This window comes from Homo sapiens, chromosome 13, assembly GCF_000001405.40.
Source record: "Homo sapiens chromosome 13, GRCh38.p14 Primary Assembly".
NCBI classification, from domain to species: domain Eukaryota; kingdom Metazoa; phylum Chordata; class Mammalia; order Primates; family Hominidae; genus Homo; species Homo sapiens.
The window spans coordinates 79,108,122-79,126,570 of NC_000013.11; the positions used below are offsets into that span (position 1 = coordinate 79,108,122).

An 18,449-nucleotide genomic window follows, 5' to 3' on the forward strand; every position below is an offset into this window, starting at 1 on the left:
TGGAAGAATCCTTTGTAAATTTATGTTTCAGGATTTAGATGTTAATTTTCATGATGGACTATTATTGTACAACAAATTGTCCAACCAGAGAATTTTAAAAAAATCAATAGATACAGCAAATGCCCAGAGATAGGAGAAGTCTGGCAAACACTTTTCAAGTATTTGTAGCCACATGCAATCTCAGCTTTTAAATAAAGAATGCTTCTAAATGAATGTAGGTTCTTACAGGGAAATGTAGTTACCTGTATCCTCTGTCCCCATTTCAGTTCTATTAAACAAATACATAAGGGCTAAGATGTGTAAACACCAAAATAGGTAATTGGAACACACAGATGAATCAGACACAGTGCCTGTCTTTGAGGAGATTGTGGACTAGTGAGAGAGATATGCCTAAAAATGTATAGATTGAATCAAGTGTGAGAAGTGCAAAGCTTTGCTCTATGTGTTGTGGGACCACGGAAGATGGACACTTAGTTCAGCCTGGGGTTCAAGAATGGCTCTTGAAAGAAAAGGCTATGCAGGTTTCCTAAAGCATCAAATCACTTTTCCTATACATGACTTAACACTCACAATTCAAGCAAAATGTACTAAAATTTTTAAATGTCTCTGAATTTTTTTCTGAAGTAGCTAGAACAAGTTCACAAGTAATTTATCAACTTCTCAGTGCATTGTTCAAGACAATTAAAAAAAAGGAGAAGAAAAAAAATACTTGTATTAGTAGCCATCAGCAGAAATAAGGACTTCACTGGGGTATCTCTTGCAAGACTCTTGCTAAAACTTTGTAGAGTTTTTGGAAACAGCCCTTTAGGGTAAGCACCAATATATAACAGCAAAATATTACATTTCTTTAAGTTTCAGTCTTAAAATTAGCATTCCAAAAACCAGACTGGAGAGAAGACAAAGATGCAAGTAAGCATTATGATGTCTGTTTGCTGCCTGCCCTCTGTGTATAAGCACAACAGTAGGTACTTACACAGGGCAGACAGATTGATCAGAAGATCATGGTCCAACCTCACAAGGCTGACTGTTACAAGGCATAAAGAAAGTGATTGCCACATTTGAAATGTTTTATTTAACCATGTGTAAGTTTAAAAGCAAAACTGATTAAATTCGCTCAAGTAAAATTTCCATGTCTTGTCTCATCTGTATGTGCCCATACATGAGACTTACTAAACTTTCCCTGACTCTAAAACCAGAATGAAAATTTACAAATAAAGAAAGCACCAGATAACACCTTGTTTAACAGACCTCAGTCACTTTGCTGCCATGAGGTCCTCCTGGGTCACTTTCAGTTCTAAAAATGTATGTGGCACATTAGAAAAAAATATCACCTAACCCAGCAATATTTTCAGAGGCCAAGCCTTGCTCAACTGGACCATCTGGTATGATGAGTGTTTTAACAGCTGCCACTCTGTAAAGGGCTTCTCCATTACCCATTCCTGCCAGAGTTGCTGGCTTGCTCTAGTTTATTTCCTCTATGGCTTTTCTTCTTTGAAGATTTGTGTTTGTGCAACTGTGGTACCCAGTTAATTGTATTTATTTTAGGTATTTTCTACTTTGTATGGGTTGAACTGGCTTGAGAGAGATCATGCTGCTTTTGGTGGGGGGTGGGTAGTCACAAAATTTTTAAGACAGGTCATTACATTTTGAAATATGTATAAGTGTGTGTGTGCATGTGCACGTGTTTTAGAATTTAAGTGTTACAAATAATAAGTCCCTCAGAGTGTGTTTTGTTTGTTTTCTAGAACACAAAGAACTTTTGAAGTTTGGTTAATTTCCATGCTAAGAGTTCTGTGGAGTCAAGAGGCAGCATCCCCACTGTGAAACCAATGGAACTCTCTTCAAGGATGCTCAGTGAAAGACAAAGTTTAAAAATGTACAGAACATAGAAACGCCAGCACCTGCAAAACCAGACTTGGGATTTGCCACTTGTTTCTTGGAATTTAGGCTGCCCTGGGCTATGAGGGCTTTCTGTTTCTTTGCCTAGACATTCTTCTACAATTATTGAAAATCAGACCTAATTTTGCTTAGCTTCCCTTTGTTTTCAAGCATGGTCATTGTGATGGTTAATACTGAGTGTCAACTTGATTGGACTGAAGGATACAAAGTATTGATCCCGAGTGTGTCTGTGAGGGTTTTGCCAAAGGAGATCAACATTTGAGTCAGTGGGCTGGTGAAGGGAGGCCCACCCTTAACCTGGGTGGGCACAATCTAATCAGCTGCCAGCATGGCTAGAATATAAGCAGGCAGAAAAACGTGAAAAGAGAGACTGGCCTGGCCTCCCGGCCTGCATCTTTCTCCCGTGCTGGATGCTTCCTGCCCTCGAACATCAGACCCCACGTTCTTCAGTTTTGGAACTTGGACTGGCTCTCCTTGCTCCTCAGCCTGCAGATGGCCTATTGTGGGACCTTGTGAGTGTGAGTTCATACTTAATAAACTCATATATACATATATATATATATAAACTCATATATATGAGTTTATTAAGTATTATAAGTATTGTTATTAAGTATTAACTATATATATATATATAGAGAGAGAGAGAGAGAGAGACAGACAGACAGAGAGAGAGAGAGAGAGAGAGAGAGTTCTGTCCCTCTAGAGAACCCTGACTAATACAGTCATCACTGTTACTTTAAACATAGGTAAACTCTCCCACTGGTTAAGGAAAAGACAGAAGCATCCACTTTTCTGGTGGCAACACGATGCTAGGTTCAATTTCTATAGTTAGCATAAAGAACTGGGAAATTTGAAGGCAAAAAGTCATATTTAAGTATCTCTGCAATGGGAATTTAAGTATTAAAAGATATCTATCTTACAGCAAACACATTTCAGTAAGGATTTTTTTTCTATGACCTATGTCAGCTCTACGCTGTTTCTTCTTGAAGGAGAACTATCCAATCCAATGCCATTTAAGTAGCTGTCATAAAGTCAGAATCTCTATCGAAAGAAAGAAAGAAAGAAAGAAAGAAAGAAAGAAAGAAAGAAAGAAAGAAAGAAAGAAGAAAGAAAACTTGCTAAAATACTGTCTTCTTTTTAGCTGAGCTAATGGCTTCCCATCTAGCTCATTTTAAAGTAAAGGAGGGGGCTTCATTAATTTGAATTCTGTAATTACAGGTCTAGAATCACAAACAAATTACTTCTAAAAATTAAATTTTAGAAGCCAGACCACTTAGCAAAAAACTATTCTAATAGAATTTAATTGAAAAATGCTAAATAACACAAAGATGTATGATTCTTTTGGTAAAGAATATGTCAAAGTAGAAAGGTCACCATCACTCCACTGGAAGTAACGTAGAACTTCCTTGCGTGGGTAGAGAGAAAAGCAGTGAGAGAGTGGGAAGGATTGCAGGATTATGAAAGGACAAGAGTAGGAAACTGTACAGGAAGGAGCAGTGTTGACTGTTTGGGGACCTCATGGTGGGGTGAGGGGTTGGTGGTGGTGTTCATACAGTTAGTTAGAAACAGACATAAAAGATGCATGCATTCGTAGAGGCTCAACATGCAAGAGACTATACAGTGATCCCACTGGAGCTTTGGAGTTAAAAAGCCAAAATTTTGATCCCAGACTCAGTCACCTACCAGCTACAAAGCTGGGGCAGTTACGTAACTTCCCAGGGCCTACATTTCCTCATGTGAAACCCATGAGATGTGCATTTCTTCCTTGAAGCTTTGTTATGAGGATGAAATAACAACTGGCAAATGGATTAGCACAGTACCTGGCACATAGTAGGAAGTCATTAAATACTTTCTTCCTTTCTACTAATTCTGTACCACTCACCACCATCGCCACTTGTACCAAATTCAAGAGTTTGGAAATTTTGTAATCTGTAATAACAAACTCCATTCACTGTGGCTATATTCTTACAGCAAGCTACATAGTGTCTGATAGAGCCATCCAGCCATCACCTTCATCACCTATTTAATAAAACTATTGTGAATCAATTCCTTGCTAAGAATTATATAAGTGAGCTATAGTGCCTCTAATCAGTGTTACTGATTATACAAGCTTTCTGGAAAGTGAAAAAAATGTGAAAACACAGAGATGAAGTCAGTTCAGTTCAGTGGAAGAACAACTGTGACATCTAAAGGCAGACAGCCAGGCTGAAACACAGTGTTGGAAACATGCACAAAGCTATCATGCACATGGCAAATGGCATTGCTATGCACTGAAAGAGATTAAATATTCTTTTCTGCTCTTTATTTTATTGCACTTTCCAATTTAGTACAGAACCCTTTTGCAATAAAACCAGAGTCTTTCTGAAAAGTAAATGTGTCCTTTCATTAATCACCACTTTCCACTTGTTTTTCTCAATTTCGCCATCAAGAAGTCTGCAGTACCACAAACCTTTGACTAGTGTGCTACCTTGATTAAGGCACAAAACGTTAAAAGCAAATTACTATGAAAGTATGAAACAATTTGCACTTAATGTTTCAGTCATATCTGTAAAAAATATGACTTAAATATAGTTTTATTAATAATACATATTTTAATTAAACGGCTGGAGGTGCATCTAGCAGCAAAAAATTGAATCTTCTCTGGATTTCACATACCGGTATGATTCATGGGCAGTAAATATGCAAAGCTTTATGCCCATAAGGCAATCAAACTCCAAAGCTGATATGCATGTTTTTATCTAAAAGAATGAAATCTCATAAGGACTAGAAATAAAAATAATAACAGACTGGTGTACCATTCTAATGAATTGGCTTTAGCCAACAGTATCTTTCTTATGTAATAAAATCATCCTTTCGGCTACAATTACATCCAATCCAACATTTTATGGAAGTAATAACTTACTTCCATTATTCTCATTACACAAGAAAATCCTGTATATGTCCTTAATACATATTGAAAAACTTCACACATATTAATAATAAAATACTGGGATATGAGTGACCACCTTTGCAAAGCAGAAAATGCTTTCCCTTGCAGACAGTTTAGGTGTTGCTTAATCCCTAAAGGATCTCACTTTACTCCTGCTCTTTCCCTGGCATTTGCCTAGTGTATTAGTTTGCTAGTGTTGCCGTAACAAAGTACTGAAGATTGGGTGGCTTCAACAACAGCAATTTTCTTTTCTCACGAGGCTAGAAGTCTGAGATCAAGGTGTCAGTAAGGCTGTTTTTTTCTGAGGCTTCTCCCCTTGACTTACAGTTAGCCACCTTCTCCCTTGTCTTCACATGGGTCTCCCACTGTGTATGAATGTCTGTGTCCCAATTTCCTCTTTCTATGAACATATCAGTCATATCGGATTAAAGCCTTACCTTAACGACCTTGTTTCACCTTGTTTTAACTTAATTATCTATTGAAAGACCCTGTCTCCAAATACAGGCACATTCTGAGGAACTGGGGGTTAGGACTTCAACATATGAATTTTGGTGGAACATAAATCAGCCAATAACACCTGGAGATTATTTTTCAGTTACATACAGTTATATTATCTGCCTCTACATCACTTGGCATGGTATTTTGTCAACAAGAAAAGCCTGTTAAAATTTTAAGACTATGTAGAATGAACTCAAAAGCTAAGATTTTCATTTATATTTTATCTTTAGTTTGAATTTCTCTGAAAAATTGTGTTATATTTGTGATCATCACTTTAAAATACCTGAACAATTAAAAATGAAAAGTTGACTACTATTTAGCTAAAGGTGAGAGAACATAGTCCTTGTAACTATGCCAGACCCAACTGTAACTCAGGAGCCATATGTATCAGGTATCCCTGAAGCCATGCTAGTGAGGATACCTTGCAGGGATGAAGCCGACTTGGCATTGACTTTCCCAAGGTGACCAGGTGATCTGAACAGTACCTTTAAAACTCTATGGTTAAAAATTGGCAAATGGGATCTAATCAAACTAAAGAGCTTCTGCACAGTAAAAGAAACTATCATCAGAGTGAACAGGCAATCCACAGAATGGGAGAAAATGTTTGCAAGTTACCCATCTAACAAATATCCAGAATCCACAAGGAACTTAAACAAATTTACAAGAAAAAAAAACAATCCCATCAAAAAGTTGGCAGAGGATATGAACAGACACTTCTCAAAAGAAGACATCTATGTGGCCAACAAACATATGAAAAAAAGCTCATCATCACTGGTCACTAGAGAAATGCAAATCAAAACCACAATGAGATACCATCTCACGCCAGTCAGAATGGCGATTACTAAAAAGTCAGAAAACAACAGATGCTGGTGAGGCTGTGGAGAAATAAGAATGCTTTTACACTGTTGGTGGGAGTGTAAATTAGTTCAACCGTTGTGAAAGACAGTGTGGCGATTCCTCAAGGATCTAGAACCAGAAATACCATTTGACCCAGCAATCCCATTACTGGTTATACACCCAAAGGATTATAAATCATTCTACTCTAAAGACATATGCACACGTTTATTGCAGCACTATTTACAATAGCAAAGACTTGGAACCAACCCAAATGCCCATCAATGATAGTACAGATAAAGAAAATGTGGCACATATACACCATGGAATACTATGCAGCCATAAAAGAGGATGAGTTTATGTCCTTTGCAGGGACATGGATGAAGTGGAAGCCATCATTCTCAGCAAACTAACACAGGAACAGAAAACCAAACACCACATGTTCTCACTCATAAGTGGGAGTTGAACAATAAGAACACATAGACACAGGGAGGGAAAGATCACACACTGGGGCCTGTTGGGAGGTGGGGGACAAGGGGAGGGAGAGCATTAAAACAAATATTTAATGCATGCGGGGCTTAAAACCTAGATGATGGGTTGATAGGTGCAGCAAACCACCATGGCACATGTATACCTATGTAACAAACCTGCACGTTCTGCACATGTATCCCAGAACTTAAGGTAAAATACAATAAAAATTAAATTACATTTTAAAAACTATGGTTAGATGCATAGACATTTATAATTGTTTTGTCTTCCTAAGGAATTGTCTCTTTAATCCTTATAAAATATCTCTCTTTATCTCTAATACTTTGAGTCTTGAAATCATCTCAACCTAAAATTTTAAAAAGTCACTCCAACCTCGATACGTTTATAATTTTTATGCCATATGTTGTTCCATCTGTTTACATTCAACCTATTTATGTCCTTATATTTAGTGTGCATTTCTTGTAGGGAGTACGTCCTAGATTCTTGCTTTTTTATCCACTATATCAATCTCTGCCTTTTAGTGTTTCAGCCATTAACATTTAATATAATTATTGATATGGTTGGATTTAGGCCTACCATTTTTTATTTGTTTTCTGTTTTTCCCTCTGTGTTTTGTTTCTGTGTTTCTTTCATGCCTTCTCTTTGGTTACCTGAATATTTTTAGTATTCAATTTTAATTTATTTGTTACTTTTTTAGCTCTCTCTTATTACATTTAGGGTTTTCTCTAGGGATTATAATGTATGTATCTTATCTTTCACAGTCTTCATAGAGTTAATACTGTACTACTTCCTGTAAAATAGAATAGTCTTGAAATCAAATAGTCCCCCTCTGGCTGAAGTCTGTTATAGTTGCTACATGAATTATACCTACATATATTGAAAACCTCACCCAACAATGTTATACTGTTTGTTTCAATTGGTCATATGTATTTTAAAGAACTAAAAAAGAAAAATGATAGTATTTTATAATTATCCAACAATATACCATCATGTTGTTCTTCTCACATTCCTAAAGACAAGTTTACCCCCAGCACCATTTTCCCCTTCATCTTAAAAGCATCCTTTAGCATTTCTTATAAAAAAGCTATGCTAGAAACAAATTTTCTTGTCTCCTTCATCCAAAAATATTTTTACTTAAAATTCTGAAAGATACCTCACAGGACTTAGAATTTTATTAATAAATTAACAGCTCTTTTCTTTTAGCACTTTAAAGATGTCTCATTGTCTCCTGGCCTCCATAGATTCAGATGAGAAATCCACAGTAATTCAAATCATTGTGCACCTATATGCAAGCTGTTATTTTATCTGGCTGCTTTTAGGACATATTTATTTTTGATTTTCAGTGATACAATTATAATATGTCAAAGCCCGATTTTTTTTAATACATCTTATTTCCTCTTCACTGAGCTTTTTTTTGTAAATTTTTACTGTTCACCAAATTGGGCTTGGCTATTGTTTCTTCAAATATGTTTATTGTTTCAATCTTTCTCCTCTCCCCTGGAACTGAATTTTCACATGTTAGACCTTGTTATATTGTCCCACAGGTGCCTAAATTTCTGTGTTTTTTGTTGTTTGTTTCAATCTGCTTTGTTCATTGTTCTCTTCATTTTGAATAATTTCTTTTTTAAAAAATAGTTGTACATACTTATGAGGTAAATATATGTTTATATAAATATTTCATTTGTCATTATTAAATCAGAGTAATTAAGATACTCATCACCTCAAGTATGTATCATTTCTTTGTGTTAGGAATATCTCAATTCCTCTCTCTCTCTATATATACACATATATATACACATACACGTATATATATACATATACATATATACACATATACGTATACATATACATATATACACATATACGTATATATATACATATATACACATATACGTATATATATACATATATACACATATACGTATATATATATACATACACATATACGTATATATATACATATATACACATATACATATAAATACACAATAAATTATTGTTGGCTATAGTGCTCTGTTGTGCTATCAAATACTGGATCTTATTCCTTCTATTTTTGCACCCATTAATCAGCCCCTCTTTAATCCTTCCTAGTTTCTAGCAATCATTTTAATCCTCCCTAGTCACTACCCTTCCTAGTCTCTAGTAACCATAATTCTACTCCCTATCTCAATGAGTTAAATTTTTTTTAACTCCTACATAGAAATAAGATTATGAAATATTTGCCTTTCTGCACCTGGCTTGTTTCACTTAACAATGTCCTCTAGTTCCACCGATGTTGCTGTGAATGACAGGAATTCATTCCTTTTATGGCTGAATAGTAGTATTCCATTGTGTATATATACCACATTTTCTTTATCCACTCATCTGTTGTTGGACACCTAGGCATATTCCATATCTTTGCTATTGCAAATGATGCCGCAGTAAACATGAGAGTGCAGATGTCTCTTTGGTATACTGATTTCCTTTCCTTTGGGTAAATGCCTAGTAGTGGGGTTGCTGGATCATATCATAGTTCTATATTTTTAGTTTTAGTTTTCCATCTTTTTTTAGCTTTTTTTTTTGGAACCTTTATGCTGTTCTTCATGGTAGCTATACTGATTTACATTCCCACTGACAGTATACCAGACTGAATAATTTCTATTGATCAGTCTTCAGGTTCACTGACTCTTTCTTCTGTCATCTCCATTCTACTATTGAACCCACTCAGTGAAATATTTATTTCAGATATTTGACTTTCAATTCTAAAATTTCCATTTGGTTGTCCTTTATAATTTTTCTCTGCTGAACTGTATATTTTTCTTTACCTCATAGATCATAGACATTATAGCTTCTTTAATGTCTTTGTCTATTAATTCAACATGTGAGTCATCTAGGGTTTGGCATCTGTTCTTTCTTCTTTCCCTTGAAAATTAGTTCTATTTTTCTGCTATGTGTGTTTGTTTGATTTGAGTAATTTTAGATTGACGAATGTGATGTTCTATAGACTCTGGGTCCTACTGTAATTATCTGAGAAGTGTTGATGTTTTTGTTTTAGCATGCATTCGAGCCATTTAGGTTCATCTTCTGAGAGCAGCAGTTAAACTCTCAGGTTAGGTCTCCCAAGCTGTGCTACCTCATTTGAGACTGAGCCATATATGCATAGCTTAGGGGTTAGTCTGATACTTTTGTGGATTCACTCAGAGAAATAGGCATCTTTTTCTCTAGGCTCTCCTTTCCAAAATTCTTCTTAATACTCTCTGGCCCACAGATGCTTCTTTCCCTAGTTCTCCCAGCCAGAGAAACAGGATTTTTCCTAAGTTTCAGCTACCTCTGCCAAGTAACTACACACTGAGATTCACCCTCAGGGCAAAGCTAGGAGAGAAAAAACGAGGGCTCACTGTCCCTTCCCCATATGAGTTGCCTCTTCACAATCTGCCTACCTTTGTTTACTTTAATATCTGAGCCTTTGATAGATATTTTTTGTATTTTATCCAGAGCTTTTAGTTGTACTCAGCGAGTGGGATAGGCTGTATGGGTTTACATCAACATAGTGAAACAAAAATTCCCTAACCTACCTAGAACTTCCCTTTGTGACACAGCAAGGGAGAAAAGCTGTGGGGAATCGTCCTGTCTAGCTACCCTCACTCCTCCTGAGTCATGCAAGAACCCTAGAAATTACCTACAATTAGGCACGGGTATGTATTAAGGAGGCCCAATAGCCTGACATTTGCCTAAAGTGTAAGCCCATCTACCCAGTTTTTAGGTCAGGATCAGAAGTAGCTGATTCCAACGACAGGTGTGGTAGCTCATGCCTGTAATCTCAGTTAACTGGGAAGTCGAGATGGGAAGATCGCTTGAGCCCAGGAGTTTGAAACAAAGCCCTGGAGTTTGAGACCAACATAACATGACAGCTCTACTAAAAAAGAAAAAGAAGGAAGGAAAGAAAGAAAGAAAAAATTAACCAAGTGTGGTGGTGCATACCTTTAATCCCAGCTACTCGGAAGGCTGAGGTGAGAGGACTGCTTGAGCCCAGGAATTCAAGACTGCGGTGAGCCGTGATTGTGTGTCCAGAATTGGTGGGTTCTTGGTCTCACTGACTTCAAGAATGAAGCCGCGGACCCTCGCTGTGAGTGTTACAGTTCTTAAAGGCGGCGTGTCCAGAGTTTGTTCCTTCTGATGTTCGGATGTGTTCGGAGTCTCTTCCTTCTGGTGGAGTTCGTGGTCTCGGTGGCTCAGGAGTGAAGCTGCGGACCTTCGCGGTGAGTGTTACAGCTCTTAAGGTGGCGCGTCTGGAGTTTTCCATTCCTCCCGGTGGGTTCGTGGTCTCGCTGGCTTCAGGAGTGAAGCTGAAGACCTTCGCAGTGAGTGTTACAGCTCATAAAGGCAGTGTGGACAAAGAGTGAGCAGCAGCAAGATTGATTGCAAAGAGCAAAAGAACAAAGCTTCCACAGCGTGGAAGGGGACCTGAGCGGGTTGCCACTGCTGGCGCTGGCAGCCTGCTTTTATTCTCTTATCTGGCCCCACCCTCATCCTGCTGATTGGTCCATTTCACAGAGAGCCGAGGGGTCTGTTTTGACAGGGTGCTGACTGGTGCGTTTACAATCCCTGAGCTAGACACAAAGGTTCTCCACCTCCCCATTAGATTACCTAGATACAGAGTGTCGATTGGTGCATTCACAAACTCTGAGCTAGACACAGGGTACTGATTGGTGTGTTTACAAACCTTGAGCTAGATACATAGTGCCGACTGGTGTATTTACAATCCCCTAGCTAGACATAAAGGTTCTCCAAGTCTCCACCAGACTCAGAAGCCCAGCTGGCTTCACCCAGTGGATCCTCCACCGGGGCCACAGGTGGAGCTGTCTGCCAGTCCCGCACTCTGCGCCGGCACTCCTCAGCCCTTGGGTGTTTGATGGGACTGGGAGCGGTGGAGCAGGGGGCGGCGCTCGTCGGGGAGGCTCAGGCTGCACAGGAGCCCACGGAGGTGGGGGAGGCTCAGGCATGGCAGCTGCAGGTCCCAAGCCCTGCCCCGCCGGCAGGCAGCTAAGGCCCAGCGAGAAATCCAGCACAGCGCCGGTGGGCCGGCACTGCTGGGGGACGCAGCCGCTTGCCCAGGTGCTAAGCCCCTCATTGCCCGGGCCGGCAGGGCCGGCTGGCCGCTCAGAGTGCAGGGCCCCACGAACCCACACCCACCTGGAACTCCCGCTGGCCCGCAAGCACCACGTGCAGCCCCGGTTCCCGCCCGTGCCTCTCCCTCCACGCCTCCCCGCAAGCTGAGGGAGCCAGCTCCGACCTCGGTCAGCCCAGGAGGGGACTCCCACAGTGCAGCGGTGGGCTGAAGGGCTCCTCAAGTGCTGCCAAAGTGGGAGCCCAGGCAAAGGAGGCGCCTAGAGGGAGCGAGGGCTGTGAAGGCTGCCAGCACACTGTCACCTCTCAATTGCACCACTGCACTCCAGCCTAGGACTGAGCGAGACTCTATCTCAAAAAGAACAAAAAACGGCCTGGCGCGGTGGCTCACGCCTGTAATCCCAGGACTTTGGGAGGCTGAGGAGGGCAGATCTCGAGGTCAGGAGATCGAGACCATCCTGGCTAACATGGTGAAACCCCGTCTCTACGAAAAATACAAAAAATTAGCCGGGAGTGATGGCAGGCGCCTGTAGTCCCAGCTACTCGGGAGGCTGAGGCAGGAGAACGGTGTGAACCCGGGAGGCAGAGCTTGCAGTAAGCCGAGATTGTGACACCGCACTCCAGCCTAGGCGACAGAGCTAGACTCCGTCTCAAAAAATAAAATAAAATAAAACAATCAAGAAAAAAGAAGTAGCTGATTCCAGTTGCTTGTCTTAATGGCCCAGATATATGCATTCAAGTAACTTTTTTGACATTATGGATTTAAACTTATTACTCCTATACCCAGACTAATTTCAAACAAAGCCATCAAACAAAAATAAGATTAGATAAAGAACACCCTGAGGATAACACTTATCTCACTCAACTCTAAAAAGTAAGCCTCATATTGCCCTAAAACCAAGTTCGAAAGTTTGGGATTCATTTCCGTAAATCCATTATTACTCCAAGGAAGTAATTATAATTTCAGCAAGGTTGTAGAATGAGTACTGGCAGTGCCTGAAAATGCATTTATCCATTTAACAAATATGTATTGAGCACCTAAATACATTAGGCAATATTCTAGGCAACAAAATTATTTTAAGATAGAAAAGTAAATTGGTAGACTCCGAAATTTGCTGCCAACACCTGAATGAGCAACTATTCTCTCCTTTTTCATGCTGTTACACTACTATTTTTGCAATTTGCCTTTTTATTTATTGCAATGTATTTTTCTGATTTGACTAATGCATGTTATATGAGGCTGCAGTACAGTTAGGACTATTCTCAAAGAGCATAGAAAATCACTGATTTGATGTAATACTGATGGCTTGGTGCACATATGACACTTCATTGAATGCTGCCAATGTGTGACAGCCACTAATAATCAAAAATACAGTTAGCATATACAGAAGTCTTAAAGGAAATGATAGAGCTAAGTTATCATCCCTACTACCAAAACCAAGAGAGGAATAGGATGCTCTCAATCCTTTTCCCTCATCAGTTTTTTACCCTCTTTCCTGCTACCTGGAGTGCAGGAGAAAAGTGAGGTACTGGTGTGTATCCAGAGCAACAGCCCCACACAGTGCCCCTTTCCAAGATCGGTAATCTGATAGCAGTCATCCTGACACATCAATCTGCTCTCCCCACGCACAGGACTGAACTGGGTTTTCAAAGTCTGCAAAAAACTATCATGCATAAACACTATTGAGAAAAACGGGTAGAGACTCCCCAATTCACTGGAGCATTAAGTCAAGGTCTGACCATGTGCGGGAAGCTGAAGGCCAATTTGGATGTTCAGCAATTTACAACTACTGTACCCACCCTCCTTTTTGGTGATTTTGTTCTTTCTCCATTATTTCCAAGGTCTTCACTTTCTGTTGATAACCTTACTTTATCGAAGTTCTTGGTTCAAGTTTCATCATTTGTTCAGTAAACATGTTTTTTTGCAGAGCAGTTTGTACAACGCCTGGTACTAAACATGGGAATCAATTAACACAGAGAGACATGAAGATTCCAGTGCTCAAGGAGATTCACCCCTGGGTCACAAGCAGCCCTGTTGAGACCCTGAGTCTTTTAGAGCTGTGTCCTCTTCCTAAAGGCCTGCTGCTGCTTCTCACCTTTATTTACCACCCTCACACCGCTCCAGAGTGAGGCTATTGTGGGGGCCCATTTACTGCCTGACTCACAGTCCCCCATCCTCCCTGTCAGTCTTCCTCTGCCTCAGGAAGCCAAGACTGCTGCTGAGTCCTGCTAAAGTTTCTTTTTGTCACCATGTTCATTAAAAAGAAATTAAGTCCAAGACTTAATTCCTGCTCCCTCAAAGCCTAGAGCATAACAAAGAGCTTATTCTACAGAAATTAAAAGCATAGAAGTTACAAAAGTACTAAGTTCAGGTTTTTCATGTTTCCTAGATCAATGGAAGGAAGAGGCTCTCCCTGTGGAAATTAATTCAATTTTAATTCTATTTATATTAATAGTCTATTTTTCTCAGGGAAGAAAGATAACACTTCTAGAAGGAACATCTCTAAAAACTTATCTCCCTTTCTCTCCCCCTGACCCCAACTGAATGTACTGAGTTAATGTCTGTTGATGAAATGTTAAATTCCTCCAGATTACCCAAACTTCACTAGGTAGGCCCCAAGCCCCTGTACTGATTCTTATAACACCATATCCTCTCCTATTTACCACTCACCATAGCTGATATTTAATATTTATTTGCGTGATTCTTTCATTAATGTCCATTTCCCCTCCTAGATTCTAAGTCTCATGAGACCAGAGAGTCTGCATTTTTCTCCTTTTTTTCCTCTCTTCTTTTTCTTTTCTTTTTTTCTTCTTTTTTGCTAACCATCACATCTCCAATGCCAAGCACAGAGGTGATACATTGTAGGTGCTCATTAATTAACCCAACAACAATCTATATATGAATTAACTAATTATGTTTATGTCTCTACCTCGAGACCCTAATGGATACATTTGAACAAGAGTCACTGTTTTGACCGATTGATTGATCAACCTTGGGCCATCAGGAAAAACATCACAGCCTTCAAGTGTCTTTACTGTTTGACAGAAAAGCGACACTTGTTTAAATTCCAGAAAATAAGGGCTGGGCTTTTTGGCCCCAACAAATTTGTCTAAACATGAATCAACTCTCAGTCTCTGAGATCCCCAGAGAAGTGATAAGGCCCTGGAATCTGGAAGAACCAAGTTACAGGATTAGAATGTAGAACCCACCAGGTAAACGATGCTTCTCCATGATCTAAGAGGAGTCTTTAACACTTTTAGTCCATGCCGTTTCTCTAAATCTTTAGGACTGGTGTGGATTTAGGAGATAATGTGTAAAAATGCTGGACCAATAAAGTAATGAAAGACCAGGTTCCAGCTTTGCTTCAATCTTTTAGCAACATTGTGATCCTGAGCAAATCACTCAACTTCCTTAACATTTTAATTTATCTACTGGTATTAATAGAATGCAGTGAATAATGCCTCCCTTGAGCATCCATAGGATTGCCACAAGGTTAACATGGGACAATACATATACAAAACAGACTGAACAAGCAGAATGCTTGCAATGTAAGCCAAAAGCATCTTCTGCATCTTTTCTGTTTTCAATCTGCCTCATTAAAACTTCTCAATGGGGCTGGGTGCAGTGGCTCACACCTATAATCCAAACACTTTGGGTGGCTGGGTTGGGGGGAGGGCAGGGATGGACCACAAGGTCAGGAGTTCAAGACCAGCCTGCCCAACATGGTGAAACCCCATCTCTACTAAAAATACAAAAATTAGCTGGGCGTGGTGGCGCACATCTGTAATCCCAGCTACTCAGGAGACTGAGGCAGAAGAATCACTTGAACCCGGGAGGCGGAGGTTGCAGTGAGCCGAGATCATGCCACTGTACTCCAGCCTGGGCAACAGAGTCAGACTCCATCTCAAAAAAAAAAAAAAAAAAAAAAAAACTTCTCAGTGAACTCAACACAGGCAGCTCATCACTTGCCACTGGATAAAAATGCAGGCAAAGCCCAAGACTTTGCAGGTCACTCCTAGATAGTGTGAAATCTTGCAGATTCTTTAATTCACAAACCAAACATTAATTCAGTAATTAAATTTCTAGTCTCATTTGTTAATCAACACTTCAAACTTGATTTAGAATTAAGAAAACTTTTCCTGTCCCCAGAAGCACCCTGTTGCCTGCAGGTGGGATCACTGGAGCTGATCTGATCACACACAGCTTCTCTCCATCTTGAAATGGGGTATGTAGCTTCTCTCTCTCCCTCACTCACCTCTTCTGCCTTTTCTTCTTCTCTGTTGCTAACCCTCTCTCCCATTTCTTCTCTCTGTCTTGCTAATTTTCTCCTTTACTTGCCAGACATGTTTTTGAAAGAGAGAAAGAAAAAAATGGATTAGGATAGAGTACTTACTGCTTGACTGGTACTGTCAATGAAGGCTTCTCAATGTCTGGGCTGGGGAAGTGTTTAAGGAGCACTTATTCTCACACAGAGTACTTTCACACATTCAACAGAAAGTCCCATGCACTGAGTACCTCTCTTGAAGTTCTTTCGACACTAACCATGCATTCTACTTCCTCGGCTGCTGTGCTACCTCAGTCCCCAGTTTGCTGACTGGTACCTGCCAAACAAATTTTCTCCATGGAAATTTCATTGCCTTTCCACAGAGATCCTCTTGAGTAGAATTTTCTAAACTTTCTTTTAGGAACATGAGTGATCATTCCCGAAAAAGAGAGAATGAGACAGTGAACTCTCATGCACTGTTATCCAGTTGCAACAATTATCAGCATTTTTACCTATTGTTATTTCCCTGGGATATTTTTAAGCAAATCTCAGATTTTCTGTATTTCACTGGGTATATATATATATATATATTTTTTTTTTTTTTTTTTTTGGAGACGGAGTCTTGCTCTATCACCCAGGCTGGAGCGCAGTGGTATGATCTCAGCTCACTACAACCTCCGCCTCTCAGGTTCAAGTGATTCTCTTGCCTCAGCCTCCCGAGTAGTTGGGATTACAGGTGCATGCCACCACACCCAGCTAATTTTTGTATTTTTAGTAGAGACAGGGTTTCACCATGTTGGCCAGGCTGGTCTCAAACTCCTCACCCCAGGTGATCAACCCACCTCAGCCTCCCAAAGTGCTGTGATTACATGCATGAGCCAGCATGCCCAGCCCACTGGGTGTAATTTAAAATGGCTCCAGGCTAGCTCTTTCTCCCAACTGGCCCTCATCTGGCCCAAAGGAAACACTCACAAACTTTCTGTGCTGACCAACTTTGGGGTGCAAGCCAATCCCCCAGCAGCACTCTTCTTCACTCTGTTGCCAAAACAGTTCAATGGTCCTTCTTTCTTGCCATCTAGATTTCCAAGGCAGTATGTCAGAGTGCATAGCTCACTTCAGGAGCTGTGCAGTAAGTGCTATAGGTAGACTTCAGGCCAGGGCTTAGAAAATAGCACTTATCTACATTCCTCCCTCTTGCAGAGAAAACGATGCACAAGATAGCTCTCTCGGAAAAAAAAAGAAAGAAAAGAAAAATCTCAGTATACTATCTCTCAATACTTTTATATCCGAACTTTAAGTTATCTTCAGTGGGTAAAATAGTTCAAGAGACTCCTAACCAGTTTTCTGATGCCTCCTTCATAAATTCTGTATATTGTCCACCATATCCAACAGGACACAGAAATTATTGTGACTTGGTGTCTTGCTCAAAACTTTAATAGTCTGATTTAACTTAGATCCAAAAGGGTAAGCTACAAAGTGATTCCCCATCTCTACAAAAAACAGAATAATTAGCTGGGCATGGTGGCACATACCTGTAGTCCCAGCTACTGAAGAGGCTGATGTGGGAGGATGTCTTGAGCCCAGGAGTTCAAGGCTGCAGTGAGCCATGATTGCATCACTATTGCAGCCTGGGGAACAAAGACTCTGTCTCAAAAGATTAAATTTAATTTAATTTGAATTAAATTTAATTTGAAATAAGAACGAAGAAGTTTCACACAGTACATACCTAACTGTATTTGTTTCAATGACATTGATGCTAATAGAATTTTATTTTATCTTCCAGTACTTTAATTATCCTAAATGATAGATATTTGTAAATTTTTCCACTTATAGCTACTACCAAGTCACTTTATCCTACATTAACCTGTCAGTGGTAAATTATTATTGGTTTCCCACTTAATTCTATTAGTATTCTTACTTTTGAAATTAAAATATGATTATCTGTGGAGAGGGTCATGCTTTTGATATTAAATATGATTAGCTTCTGGAAAAGTGATTAGCTACATTTATGTTCTATTGCCACAGTTCCACTGAGATTTGCAACCTATTAACCCATGATACAGCTAAAACTGAATCATTGTATGATAATGAATACATTCACATGCCATTGACTGATTTCTTTCAGGCATAGAGAGCATAATTTGCAGATGTGGGTGACATAGAAGACTACCGGAACTGTCTTCCTAAGTTTACCCTCATACAAATTTAGAGTAAGGTGACTAGTCACTGATGCTATATTCCCTGTATGCGAGATTGCCAAAGTTCTGCGAGGGACTTGAAGAAAATTTTGGGCAATTGCATTCTCCTTCCCAAAGGTATTCTGAGCTACATTACACAACAGGCTTCCCCAGAGCAGAAGCAATGCTTATCTTGTTCACTATCTATCCCTGTAGCCCAGTTTAGTATCCAACACTTAATAGGTGCTCAGC

General features: G+C 39.6%; 2 annotated features.

The window, feature by feature from the left end:
- Positions 994–1,073: an enhancer, noted in NCBI's record as "active region_7849". NCBI's record gives its function as "activates an Ori minimal core promoter by ATAC-STARR-seq in GM12878 lymphoblastoid cells {active_cell/tissue: GM12878}" and the evidence as "EXISTENCE:reporter gene assay evidence [ECO:0000049][PMID:35858748]".
- Positions 11,115–11,657: an enhancer, noted in NCBI's record as "H3K27ac-H3K4me1 hESC enhancer chr13:79693371-79693913 (GRCh37/hg19 assembly coordinates)". NCBI's record gives its function as "activates a minimal SCP1, AML or CMV promoter by ChIP-STARR-seq in naive H9 embryonic stem cells {active_cell/tissue: H9 hESC(naive)}" and the evidence as "EXISTENCE:reporter gene assay evidence [ECO:0000049][PMID:30033119]".